The sequence below is a fragment of the Homo sapiens genome, chromosome 5 (genome assembly GCF_000001405.40).
Source record: "Homo sapiens chromosome 5, GRCh38.p14 Primary Assembly".
Classification (NCBI taxonomy): domain Eukaryota; kingdom Metazoa; phylum Chordata; class Mammalia; order Primates; family Hominidae; genus Homo; species Homo sapiens.
The window spans coordinates 68,200,831-68,215,223 of record NC_000005.10 but is presented as its reverse complement, the minus strand read 5'-3'; the positions used below and the strand labels follow the sequence as shown (position 1 = coordinate 68,215,223).

Here is a 14,393-nt window from a genome sequence, read left to right as displayed (position 1 = left end):
GTGGGCGGAAAACCCGCGGCACCCGCCTGGCGCTCCGGGGGTGAAGGAGGGGTGAAAGGGTGAACCGGAGGGACGGGCGCCCGCAGCCTGCCGCTGGCTAACTCCGGCAGCCTGGCACCGCCGCCTCCGGGAGCCAGGCGGACCCGCGAGAAGGGAAGAGAGTTTTCTGAGGGCGTACGCTGGCTGATGGCTTCTAGTCCTGAGATGACAGAGCAAATGGAGGTCACTCAGGCAGACCACGGGCCCCTCGGCGTTCGCGGAGTCGGGGGCGGGGTTGGCGGGGGGTGGGGTTGGCGCGGGCGGGGGGGGCGGGGAAGCGCAGGTGAATTACATTGTCTCTTAAAGGTGTTAGTTTTGAAATGCATATTCTTCAAGTAATAATTACCTAAGTTGCTCCAGAAAAATTTGATGTTGGTTCAAACCTTCCACTGATGGTAAGATGGAATGCCAGCACCACGTGTGCCACTCTTTCATATTAAAACATGTGAGAATCTGCTTCCTAAAAGCTCTTTCCAGATTCTCCTTTCTGCAGCTTAAAGCCCTGCACCCGCCCACCCTGTTTGCCTAAAGCCCTTTTATAGTTCCCTCCCAGTTTCCTTGCAAGAAAACTCTTAAAAACAAACACACAAAACCTAAGCACTTGGCCTCTGTAAAACGTTGAATTTGGTGGTTTATTCTTGTGGACGTTGGAAGTAGAGGGAAGAACGTCCTAAAATTCATCGCTTATCCTTAAAAAATATCATTTTTAAAGGTGACTCACCTAACAGAAAAGTAAGCTCCACTTTAGGCTATTCAGACACTGGTGTTTCTATTATTCCAAGATGTCTCTTGCAGAGGCGACACAAAAACAGGCAGCTACCCACATCATGTTTAAGAATACACTTTATCTGAAAGCAAATAGGAAATTTACCAAGGTACCTTCTTCACACCTACTGTGTGAAATGAAGGACTTCATGCATTCTCTGTCTGTAAATGGAATGATATACCTTGCCTTGCAGTAGAATTACTTTGATCCAATCCAATAAGCTGAGATGAAACTGCTGTGACCTTCCCAGTATTTCCTTTAGGTTCCGCTCTGAACAAACTCTAACAGTGAAAACCTTGCTAGTTATCTCCTTCTTCTGGAGATAGCTGGAAAGAGTCTTATGCACTATTGCAGTGGGATTCTGTTCACCCGCAAACCTAAAAACAATAAAATTCCCAAATGCACCTCCTCATTTAGACACAGTCTTTAGTAATTTATTTCCAGCATACATTGTATTTCCTTTACGTTTTTTCATCATAAAGAGTGTCCCAAGGGAAGAAAATAAGGCTCTCTTTTCATATACTAAATAAATTCAGTATTTCATTTGTTTTAAACTGATGATATCTCCCCATATCACTAGTATTAGCATTTTTATTTATTTTCACCTTCAATTGATTTCTATGAAACAAAAGCAAAGGCAACAAAACAGCAGTATTCAAGCTTTTTTAAAAATAATCTTTTTATTTAATAAAATCTAGTCTAGAATCCCCAAATACAACTATAAGATAAGAAGTCATGTAACAAGACCAAGAGGCCCATTGCACCACCTCCCTTCCTTCTGTCTAGAACCTCTGGATCCTTGGACTAGAAACATCTGGATCTCCTGAGAATTTGTTGGAAATTCAAATTGTCCTCACTGAATCAGGAATGCTGAGGGTGGAGCCTAGCAATCTGTATTTTAATAAGCTCTCCAAGTGATCTGATGCATGCCCTATGGTTTCAGAACTATTACTCTAAGGCTTCTGGAAACACTGATTGAAAACCTCTGCAATAAAATACTCACATTAAGTACCCAAACACCATGGTTCAATCAGTAATGGCCAAACTGTTGGCCAGCAGGTAGTGACACCAGCAAGGAGCTCGAAATAGCAGAAGATGTACAATTTGCAACGAAAGGGGTGATACAGGGGTGTCACATACAAGGCATAAGAAGTCAAGGACCCCCCAATGTCAAGAAAGGCTGAGTAGCTATAGGCTGAGAAAGAATTCTCCCCAAAGTATGGTAGGATACTCTCATTTGGCATCATCATTCCAGCTACATCAATATTGTGAGTGCTAGAATTAGCTTTCATTAGACTTGAAACCTAAGAATGTATCTTAGGGTTCAAAGCCAATGTGAAATACAAATGGCTTAGACCTTTACTTCTCAAGTGAGGCCCATAGACCAGCAGCTTTGGCACTATGTAAGAGCTTGTTAGAAAGGCAGAATCCCAGGCCCTATCCCAGGCATACTTAATCAAAATCTGCATTTTAACAAGATTATCAGGTGATTCCTATGCAAGTTAAACTTTGAGAAGCCCTATCTTAGACAGGGGTTCTCAGTTTTCTCTACACATTGCAAATACCTGAGGAGCTTATAAAAATCTCAATACCTGGTCTGCACCCCAGATGGATTACATCAAAATCTCTGGGGTGAAATGCAGGCATTAGTAACTTTTCAAGCTCCTCACATTATTCCAGTGGGAAGCCAGATTTTAGGAACCACTGCTTTGGAGGAGCCACTTAAGAAAGGCGCTATTAGGAAAGCCCTCTGGGTACAGTAGAGTACAAATGGCTGGTCTTAAAGCGGGCAGCTGAACTAGAGTTTAGCTAATTGTTGCCGCACAGGAATGTGAGCCCAAATTTTCCAATTTTCCTAGAGAAGCTGAAAATACAGATTTTTATGGACTATTTTCCAATTATTGAATGCTGGCAATGAATTCAACCTTTTTTAGAAATATAGGTTAGGCCACATTCGTGTGATTTTTTTGAAATGTGGGTTAGGTTAGTGTGATGTTATGATGCTGCACATCATAAAATAAAGTGGGAAAAAAAAATCACCCAAGAAGAGTACTGGCTTCTTGGAATGTAAGCCTCATGATCTAAAGAGTCAAGTGTTTTAAATGTTCTGTTCTCTAACAGAACCAAACACTGTAGGCATTCAATGACTGGGAATTGGTAATGGGTGAGATATCAATGCTTGCAACCCTGGGGCAAAACACTATGGTCTTCTATGCAATATTTTTATTTTCTCTTTCTCCTGCCTGCTAACTGATGTGTTGGGGGTGGGAAAGTAGAATGAATCTTTGCATTACTTAGATTAAAATCTGCACCTATTGTGAGTTATGCAGGTTAATTACATATTAAGAGAAACATGAAAAAATTATTGACTGGAATACTTACTACCTGATATGGTTTGGCTGTGTCCCCACCCAAATCTCATCTTGAGTTGTAGCTCCTATAATGCCTTCATGTTGTGAGAGAAGCCTGGTGGGAGATCAGTGAATCATGAGGGCAGTTTCCCCCATACTGTTCTCATGGTAGTGAGTAAGTGTCACAAGATCTGATGGTTTTATAAAGGGTTTCCCCTTTCACTTGGCGCTCATTCTCTCTTTGCCTGCCACCGTGTAAGACGTGCCTTTCTCCTTCTGCCATGATTGTGAGGCCTCCCCAGCCACATGGAACTCTAAGTCCATTACACATCTTTTCCTTTATAAATTACCCAGTCTCAGGTATGTCTTTATCAGCAGCATGAAAACAGACTCATACAGTAAATTATTACAGCAGCAGTGGGGTGCTGCTGTAAAGATACCTGAAAATGTGGAAGTGACTTTGAAACTGGGTAACAGGCAGAGGTTGGAACAGCTTGGAGGGCTCAGAGGAAAACAGGAAAATGTGGGAAAGTTTGGAACTTTCTAGAGACTTGTTGAATGGCTTTGACAAAAATACTGATAGTGATATTAACAATGAGGTCCAGGTTGAGGTGGTCTCAGATATAGATAAGGAACTTGAGAACTAGAGTAAAGATGACTCTTGCTATGTTTTAGCAAAGAGATTGGTGGCATTTTGGCCCACCCTAGAGATTTGTGGAACTTCAAATTTGAGGGGGAAGATTTAGGGTACCTGGCAGAAGAAATGTTTAAGCAGCAAACCATTCAAGAGGTGACTTGGGTGCTGTTAAAAGCATTCAGTTTTAAAAGGGAAACACATCATAAAAGTTCAGAAATTTTGCAACCTGATGTGATAGAAAGGAAAAACCCATTTTCAGAGGAGACATTCAAGCTGGCTGCAGAAATTTGCATAAGTAACAAGGCACTAAATGTTAATCACCAAGATAATGGGGAAAATGTCTCTAGGGCTTGCCAGAGACCTTTTCCACAGCTGCTCCAACCGTGGCTAAATGGGGCCAAGGTACAGCTTGGGCTGTGGCTTCAGAGGGTGCAAGCCCTAAGCCATGGCAACTTCCACATGGTTGGGCCTGTGGGTGCAGAGAAGTCAAGAATTGAGGTTTGGAAACCTCTGCCCGGATTTCAGAGGATGTATGGAAAGGCCTGGATGTCAAGGCAGAAGTTTGCTGCAGGGGTGGGGCCCTCATGAAGGACCTCTGCTAAGGCAGTACAGAAGGGAAATGTGGGGTTGGAGTCCTCACACAGAGTTCCTACTGGGGCACCACCTAGTGGAGCTGTGAGAAGAGGGCCACTGTCCTCCAGACCCCAGAATGGTAGATCCACCGACAGCTTGCACCGTGCACCTGGAAAAGCCACAGACACTGAATGCCAGCCCATGAAATCAGCCGAGAGTGAGACTGTACCCTGCAAAGCCACAAGGGTGGAGCTACCCAAGACCATGGGAGCCCACCTCTTATATCGGCATGACCTGTATGTGAGACACGGAGTCAAAGGAGATCATTTTGGAGCTTTAAGATTTGACTGCCCTGGTGGATTTCAGACTTGCGTGGGGCCTTTAGCTCCTTTGCTTTGACCAATTTCTCCCATTTGGTATGGGTGTATTTATCCAATGCCTGTACTTCCATTGTAATCTAGGAAGTAACTAACTTACTTTTGATTTTACAGGCTTATAGGCAGAAGGGACTGGCCTTCTTTCAGGTGAGTCTTTGGACTGTGGACTTTTGAGTTAATACTGAAATGAATTGAGACTTTGGGGGACTGTTGGGAAGGCACTGTTGGTTTTGAAATGTGAGGACATAAGATTTGGGAAGGGCCAGGGGTTGAATGATATGGTTTGGCTGTGTCCCCACCCAAATCTCATTTTGAATTATAGCTCCCATAATTCCCACATGTTGTGGGAGGGACGCAGTGGGAGATAATTACATCACGGGGGTGGTTTCCCCCATACTGTTCTCGTGGTAGTGAATAAGTCTCACAAGATTTGATGGTTTTATAAGGGGTTTCCCCTTTCGCTTGGCTCTCATTCTACCTTTACCTGCCACCATGTAAGATGTGCCTTTCACCTTCTGCCATGATTGCGAGACCTCCCCAACCATGTGGAACTCTGAGACCATTAAGCCTCTTTTCCTTTATAAATTATCCAGTCTTGGGTACATCCTTATTAGCAGCATGAAAATGGGCAAATATACTACCATAGTAAGAATTCAGAAGACCAACAGTACTGTAATTCCCATTCTGTTGTTTCTGAGCTTTTTCAAGCTGTTATTCATGTTGAAGCATTAGAAGGAGAGGAAACTTTAATGTATCCCAGAGAGCAAGTCAGATTACAATCACCTGTACTCAAAGGTCTCTTATCATAATGTATGCTCTAGGGATTTTTTTCTCTTTTAGCTCTTCAGTCCTCATACTTCAGGAATAAGACTCTGAAAATAAGTCAACCAGTATAGAATGGAAGTAAATGAGCCTCATGAGTTATAGTTTCAGATCAATTTTACTCAATATCTGATCCCAAAATCACCTGCAAAAAAAAAACTCACCTGAAAAAAATTAAAATACAATTATCCCAGTTGAGTTGATAAAATATGAAATGTAGAAGATTTCTGTGCTATTTGCTTGAAAGCAAGAGCGAATTTTTATTTTTGTATAAAATACAGCAGCTATCAGACTTCCTGGTACATCATGGGCACTCAGTAAGGGAGAAAGGTCTGAAGGGTGAAAGGAAACTTGACACCAGTTTCTTACATTTGTGGCAGTTGAAACAATAGAATGCAAATGCTGTCTAGATCATCCTTCTGAGGGTCTGGTAAGTCAGAGCCAGATCTGGAAACAGATCAACAGGACCACCCATTAAGCCAATCTGCAAGTGGTGCCAAAACATCTGTGAGCATGAAACAACTGGAAAGCCATATGCGAGGCAAAATAAATCTTGACCCTTATAGCCTACCATATAAAAAATTAACTTAAAATGGATCATAGACCTAAATTTAAGAGCTAACACAATACTTCAAAAAATTAAAAAAAAAAAAAGGTTTGGAAAAGATTTCTTAAATATCAGGACCAAAAAAGCTTGAGCTTAAGAAAAAAACAAAATCAGTGAATTGGCCTTTCATTAAAATTGAGAATTTTGATCTTCAAAAGACACTGTCATGACAATGAAAAGCCCTATCTTGGGAGAAAATGTTTTCTTTTTTTGAAACAGAGTCTCACTCTGTCACCCAGGCTGGAATGCAGTGGCACAATCTTGGCTCACTGCAACCTCTGCCTCCCAGGTTCAAGCAGTCTTCCTGCCTCAGCCTCCCAAGTAACTGGGACTACAGGCACGTGCTACCATGCCTGGCTAATTTTTTTATTTTTAGTAGAGACAAGGTTTCACCATGTTGGCCAGGCTGGTCTCAAACTCTTGACTTCATGATCTGTCTACTTCAGCCTCCCAAAGTGCTGGGATTACAGGCATGAGCTACCACGCCCGGTGGGAGAAAATATTTTCAAAATACATATGCAACAAAGAACTTGTATTTAAAATACATTAGGAACTCTTACAACTTAATTTAAAAAAAAAAACTGCAGTTTTTTTTAAATGGGCAAAAGACTTGCACAACACTTTATGAAAGAAGGTATATAGGGCTGGGTATGGTGGTTCATGCCTGTAATCCCAGCACTTTGGGAACACAAGGTGGGCAGACTGCTTGAGCCTGGGAGTTTAGGACCAACCTGGCCAACACGGCAAAACCCTGTCTCTACACAAAATACAATAATTAGCTGAGAGTGGTGGCATGTGGCTGTGGTCCCCACTACTTAGGAGCCTGAGGTGAGAGCATTGCTTGAGGGAGGCAGAGGCTACAGTGAGCTGAGATCTTGCCACTGCACTCCAGGGCCAGGGGAACAAAACAAAGCAAATAATCAAACAAAAACAGTGTCTCAAGCCTATAATCCTAGAGCTTTGGGAGGCAGAGTCTGGAGGATTGCTTGAGGCCAGGAGTTCAACACCAGCCTAGGCAACATAGCAAGATCCTGTATCTCCAAAAAATAAAATAAATTTAAGAATTAGCTGCCGGGCATGGTGGCTCATGCCTGTAATCCCAGCACTTTGGGAGGCCGAGGAGGGCAGATCATGAGGTCAGGAGATTGAGACCATCCTGGCTAACATGGTGAAACCCCATCTCTAGTAAAAATACAAAAAATTAGCCAGGTGTGGTGACGGGCACCTGTAGTCCTAGCTACTCCAGAGGCTGAGGCAGGAGAATGGCATGAACCTGGGAGGCAGAGCTTGCAGTGAGCCGAGATCATGCCACTGCACTTCAGCCTGGGCGACAGGGCAAGACTCCAACTCAAAAAAAGAAAAAGAAAAAGAAAAGAAAGAAAGAATTAGCTGAGTATGGTGGTATGCACCTGTAGTCCTAGCTACTTGGGAGGCTGAGGCAGGAGGATTGCTTCAGCCCAGGAGTTCAAGACTGCAGTGAGCTAGGATTCAGCCACTACGCTCCAATGTAGCCCATAGACTGAGACCCTGTCTCTGAAAAAAGAAAAAAGATATATGGATGGCAACCAAGTTCATGTATAGAAGCTCAACATCTTTAGTCATTAGGGAAATGCAAATTAAAATCATAATGAGAGGGGACTCAAATAGATACTTGTAAGCCAATGTTCACAGCAGCAGTACTCAACAACACACAAAAGTTGGAAACAATCCAAGTATTTATTAACATGAATGGATAAACAAAGTGTGGTGTATCTATACAAAGGAATATTATCCAACCATAAAAAGGAAGAAAGTTGTTACACATGCTACAACATGGATACACTTTGAACATATTATGCTAAATGAAATAAACCAGTCATAAAAGGACAGATATTGTATGAGTCTTCTTATGTGAAATATCTAGAATAGATGAATTCATAGAGACTGAAAATAGAGATTATGGGATTTGGTGAGTGGGAATGGGAATTTATTGCTTAATGGGTACAGTTTCTGTTTGAGATGAGCAATTTTGGAATAGATAGTGGTGATGTTTAACAGCATTGTGAATGTAATTAATACCACTACATTGTACACTTAAAATGGTTAAAATGGCAAATTTTATCTTATATATTTTAACTCAATAAAAATTTAAAAAATAATTAAGGGCCAAATATATATAAAGGGAATGTATTATCCTGTTTTCACACTGCTATAAAGATAATACCAGAGACTGGGTAATTTACAAAGGAAAGAGGTTTAATTGACTCACAGTTCTACATGGCTAGGGAGGCCTCACCTCAGGAAACTTACAATCATGGTGGAAGGTGAAGGAGAAGCAAGGCACAACTTCAAAAGGCAGCGAGAGAGAGAGAGAGAGAACATAAATGAAGGGAAAGTGCCACACTTTTAAACCATCAGATCTAGTGAGAACTCTCTCACTATCATGAGAACAGCATGAGAAAAACTGCCTCCATGAACCCATCCCCTCCCATCAGGTCCCTTTCTCAACATTCGGGGATTACAATTTGAGATGAGATTTGGGTGGGGGATACAGAGCCAAACCATATTAGGGACATTATTTTGTATTCTCTAGGTACCCAATAAATACTTTCTGAATTAAAAAAGAAAACACAGTGAGATATGACCACATATCCATTAGAATGGCTAAAATTATAAAGGTTGATAATACCAAGTGTTGCCAAGGATATGGAACAGGTGCAACTCTGTAACTCTGGTGATGGTAATGTAAAATGATGTAATGAAGAAAACAGTTTGGCCATTTATTTAAAAGTTGAGCATACATCCACTGTAAGATCCAGTGATTCCACTTCTGTGTATTTGCCCAAGAAAAATAAAAACATGTGTCCATACAAAATTTTGTGGATATATATTCATGGGAGTTTTATTTTTAGTAGCCCCAAACTGTAAATAACCGAAATGTCCATTAACAGGTGAAAGAATAAACAAATTATGGTATTCCCATACAGTGGAATACTACTTGGCAAAAAAAAAAAACAAAAAAAACAAACAAAAAAAAAAAACAAACAAACAAAACACCAAACTTCTTTTTGTTTTTTTTTTTTCCAGAGCTAGCAGAGGTTTTATTTTGGACAAAAAAAAAAAAAAAAAAAAGCAATTGAATTGTTTTGTTGCTGGAGGCATGGGCAAGGGGGGTGCCCCAGAGAGTAAACTCCCCTATGTGGGCTTAGGGATAGGGCTGAGCCTCAGGTGGGTCTCCTGTTCCCTGTGCTCCCCTGCGCAGTGGCTTTTCTCATGGGCTCTGGGGCAGCTGCAGGAAGGATAGGCTGGGAGGGGCTGCTGTGGCTGTTCACTTGAGCAGGACGTCAGAGGACTTGGATACCAGCTTCCCATCATGGGTCTTGATCTTCTTCACAACCACAGCCCTGAAAACCCCAAACTATTGATACACACAACATGGATGAATATCAAAATTATGATGTTAATACAAAGAAACAAGATAAGAAAAACAGTATATGTACAACTTGGTTTTATTTTTTATAAAATTCTAGAAAATCCAAACTAATCTGTAACAGAAAGCAGTCCAGTGGGTTTCTGATGCCTCACTGGGATGAGGCAGGAGTGAAAAGATGGTTGAGTTATAAAGGGCACGCAGAGACTTTTGGGGGTGAAGGCTATAGTTTCCTGAGTATTTGCATATGTCAAAACTCATTAAATTGTACACTTCAAATATGTGTAGTTTATTATATATCAATTATATCTCAATGAAGTCATAAGAAAAATAGAAAACTATAAAGCTCTTCTTCCTCATGATGTTCTAATTTCATCAAGTCAGAAAATTATTAGGAAATACTGATTTTGTTAAGTACAATGAGAATTTTCTAATATCTGCCAGAAAGTTGTCATAAGAAATATTCAAATCTACAAGGTTTGTCTTGTGACTGATGCTCCCTTTCATATGATGCTCTTGTCCAGTGCACAGCCAGTACCTCCATGAATAGCAGCCTGAAATCGTGTTCACAGAACCCCCTTCCCAATACTAGGAAAACCTGGCAGCAGAATTATTCATTGATAAGTTGTTTTTAAAGAGCATAGATTCAGAGTAAATGATGGTGGAGAGTCTTGAGGGATATTTCATCTTGGCTTTGGAAAACCCTATTGAAGTGTCCCAGTCACCCAAGCGAGTCCATCTTCCTAGTGAGCAGAATGTTTCATCCCCCATCCCAGGAACCTTCTCCCCTGGACTGCCTGATAAACATGAACTCACTCTTATTCTCTGGCTTCCTTTTGTGTAGGTTCTACACAGCCACTCCATTAGATTACAACTGTGTTACAACACTTACAGTACACTTAGCGTTCAGCTTCTTCAGTTAACATAATACTCTAGTCCCACCTCTTAGAGACTAAAACTTAATCCCTATGTTCAGATTTGGGAGATACCAGATTTTCTCCACCATTTAAAGACTCTGTCAGACTGAGTCATCACGTGTTCATTGTTGTATTGATTTCTTTCTCAGAAGGTCACTTTTCCCAAAGTTTTGGACCTACCTTTCTCCAACAAAAGCAACTCTTTTAGATCCATAAGGAATGTGTTAGTTGAACTAAAGATGCAATTCTGAAACATTCTACTATGCTTATCTGAAAATGAGCTTGTGTTTGAAAAGTGACAAGGAGCGTAAACATGATGAAGAGCAAGCTAATAAATTATATTTCTTAGAGATTCAACTAATAGGAAATTTAGCCCATGGTTGGTTATATTCCACACCCAAGCCTTGAGCACTGGCACAAATTATCAGGGTGCTGTTACAACTGTCTGGGTAAAAGGATTTGCTTGAGTATGTTCATGTTGGCACTGCTGGCGTAAAAATTAAGGGCAAAGTCACACTGATAGATAATGAGCCCTTTATCAAGGAAACTGTGTTGGACAATCTCACTGCTCAGAAAGAATTTTTCAAAAGAAACCCCAGCCTTTGTTCCCTCCACTGGAGGGGACCCAGAGATGTCAGTGCTGCCGACAGAACCTGGCCCCTAGCATTCAAACAAGCTCATAGAATAAAGGAGACACATTCCCATCAGCCTCCCCAGTCTAGCTCCTATCGTATAGACTTTTCTCTGAATCCTGCTAAGCTATGTGCAAAGAAAACACTTTAGATCAGGCAAAGCTGTATTCTGACAATACTGATTTTTTCAAAAGGGTTAGAATTTTTCATTTAAACACTTAAACCCGTTGTTGGTACATGCATCACAATGTTAACAAGGATTTCCTTTCTGTTATAAATAGAAAGCAACAACTTTCTATTTGGAAGAATGACTTCGGAAAGAGTGACTATGGATAGTTTAGGATGTTTTAGAAGTTATTAGATTCTTTAAATACTAATGTGTTTGAAAAAGGTAGCTTATGTTTTCTATTTGAAGAAGGGAACCATGCTTACGATGGTTGTGGTATTCAATTTTAATGTTTCAAGAGGGCTTTTACGGGTTGGTGGCGGTGGCTCATGCCTGCAATCCCAGCACTTTGGGAGGCTGAGGTGGGCATGTTGCTTGAGCTCAGGAGTTCGAGACCAGTCTGGGAACATGGTAAAACCCCATCTCTACCAAAACTACAAAAAATTAGCTGGGCTTGGTGGCATGAGCCTGTGGTTCCAGCTACTTGGGAGGCTGAGGTGGGAGGATCGCTTGAGCATAGGAGGCAGAGGTTGCATTGAGCCAAGATTGCACCTCTTCACTCCAGCCTGGATGACAGAGTGAAACCCCATCTCAAAATAAATAAAAAAAAAAAAAGAAAGAAAGAAAGAGGGCTTTTACATGAATGGTTTTATTTGACGCACCAGCCCTGGGTGGTAAGCAGAGCATGTATCATGATTTTCATTCTATAGATGAAGAAAAAGACTTGGGAAAACTCCATGGTTTGGCATAGGTGGGAAGCAACAGAACCAAATCTACCCTTGGGTCTTCTGACTCTTCGAGCAGCACGTGCTGCCTCACTGTCTGATGATTCTTCCATCTGGGTTAATGTGCTCCTTATTCTAAATCCGTGTTGTGTTCCTTCCAGGTAACTTTCAGTCTAACTTCTGTAATTATTAACTGACCTATCATTACCACAAACCTAGGATAAATTTTGAAAGGGCCCAAAAAGGCTTTGGGCTAATTAACACAGAGTTTCAGACCTCTTGGATCACCTAATCTCTCTACTTCAGGAATATTGAACTATAGAATTGGCAAGTGCTACATATATCTAATTTAACTGTTTTTCAGATAAGAAAACCAAGACCCTTATCTCTATAATACAAAGTTAGTTAATGCTTCAAGTCACACAGCTAGTTAGTGACAGAACCATGAGAAGAACCTAAGTCTAAATCCAGGTCCATGGTATACACCTGTAGTCCCAGCTACTTGGGAGGCTGAAGCAGGAGGATGGCTTGAGGCTAGGAGTTCAAGGCCGCAGTGAGCTATGATTGTACCACTGCACTCTAGCCTGACAGAGTGAGACCCTGTCTCTGAAAAAAATATATATAGTAAAATAAAAAATAAATCCAGGGCCTGGCATGGTGGCTCATGCCTGTAATCGCAACACTTTGGGAGGCCGAGGCGGGCAATCACAAGGTCAGGAGTTCGAGACCAGCCTGACCAATATGGTGAAAACCCATCTCTACTAAAAATACAAAAAAATTAGCCAGGCGTGGTGATGCATGCCTGTAATCCCAGCTACTCAGGAGGCTAAGGCAGGAGAACTGCTTGAACCTGGGAGGCAGAGGTTGCACTGAGCCGAGATTGCGTCACTGCACTCCAGCCTGGGTGACAGAGCGAGACTCCATCTCGAAAAAATCAATCAATCAATCAATCCAGGCCTCATTGTTCTAGCTCATGGCCTCACTGTTATCATTCCAGTTTAGCTAATGCCTGGGAAATACCTGCCAAATATGGCAGGCACCATTGACTTATTGAAGAAAAGATTTATGACTTGTATACATGATTACAGGACTGTCAACAATACCCTTGTAAAAGATTAATAATCTTGTACAAAATTTGGGCACCATGCCACATGAAAAACAGGAGGAACCAGGCAGGTTGATGTTGCAATCCAAGGCAAAACTCACTTAAACCTGAAATGCTATAAAATACTCTATCACATAATTTTACCATACGACTGTGGCAGAGGAGTTGGCAATTACTGCTCTTTTTTCAGTCACTGAATTTGGAGGGAAAAGAGAATACACATCTGTTCCTAAGCCCTTTACCTGTCCGGGAGTGTTTGCACACACCATCATTTCCACCACCATCACCACCTCCATTCGCCAATCCATATTGGGTCCCATTAAAATGATATGTTAATATTTCCCTAATTCCCATACCAATTTCCATGTAATACTATAAACCTGGTATTACTACATACAAAATAGCCAAAACCAGCCAGACACAGTGGCTCACACTTGTAATCCTGGCACTTTGGGAGGCCGAGGTGGGTGGATCACCTGAGGTCAGGAGTTTGAGACCAGCCTGGCCAACATGGCGAAACCCTGTCTCCATTAAAAATAAAAAATTAGCCAGGCATGGTGGTGCGTGCCTATAATCCCAGCTACTCGGGAGGCTGAGGCAGGAGAATTGCTTGAACCTAGTAGGGGCGGAGGTTGCAGTGAGCCGAGATTGCGCCACTTCACTCCAGCCTGGGTGAAAGAGTGAAACTCCATCTCAAAAAATGATAATAACAGTAATAATAAATAAATAAATATCCAAAACCTAGCGTTCTCCCTAACACGAGGCTCAGTACTTTGGCAGAGGTGGCTTCGCCAAGTTTTTCTTTTTCGTACTTTCTTCAGAAACTTCTTGGCTTATCAACAAGTTACCTTGCAGAAGGCTGCAAGATCATTTGGCTTTAGAGTCAAAGTAATACCATGCAAGTGGCCACTAGAGTCAATAGTTTGAGGTGGGCCAAGTTTGTGTGTTTTTGCTCTGGTAAAAAGATTTGACAATATCTATGATTACAGGTAGAAAGTTCACAAATAGAGGAGTGCTTTATACATAGTAATTCATTTAGTCCCTACAAACAACCTATGAGGTAGATGTTTTACAGATAAGAAAATTGTGGCACAAAGAGATTAGTAAGCAGGTAGAACTGAGTTTTGAACTCAAGCAAATCGGCTCTAGACAGCATCCTCTAAACCTGGCGTCTGTAAACTACACTCTGCAGGCCAACTCTGGCCCACCACCTGTCCTTTAAATGACTTTTGAAGTTGTCTGTGGCTGCTTTTCTGCTACCATGGCA

General features: G+C 41.5%; 1 annotated feature.

The window, feature by feature from the left end:
* Nucleotides 72–291: a silencer, noted in NCBI's record as "silent region_16072". NCBI's record gives its function as "represses an Ori minimal core promoter by ATAC-STARR-seq in GM12878 lymphoblastoid cells {active_cell/tissue: GM12878}" and the evidence as "EXISTENCE:reporter gene assay evidence [ECO:0000049][PMID:35858748]".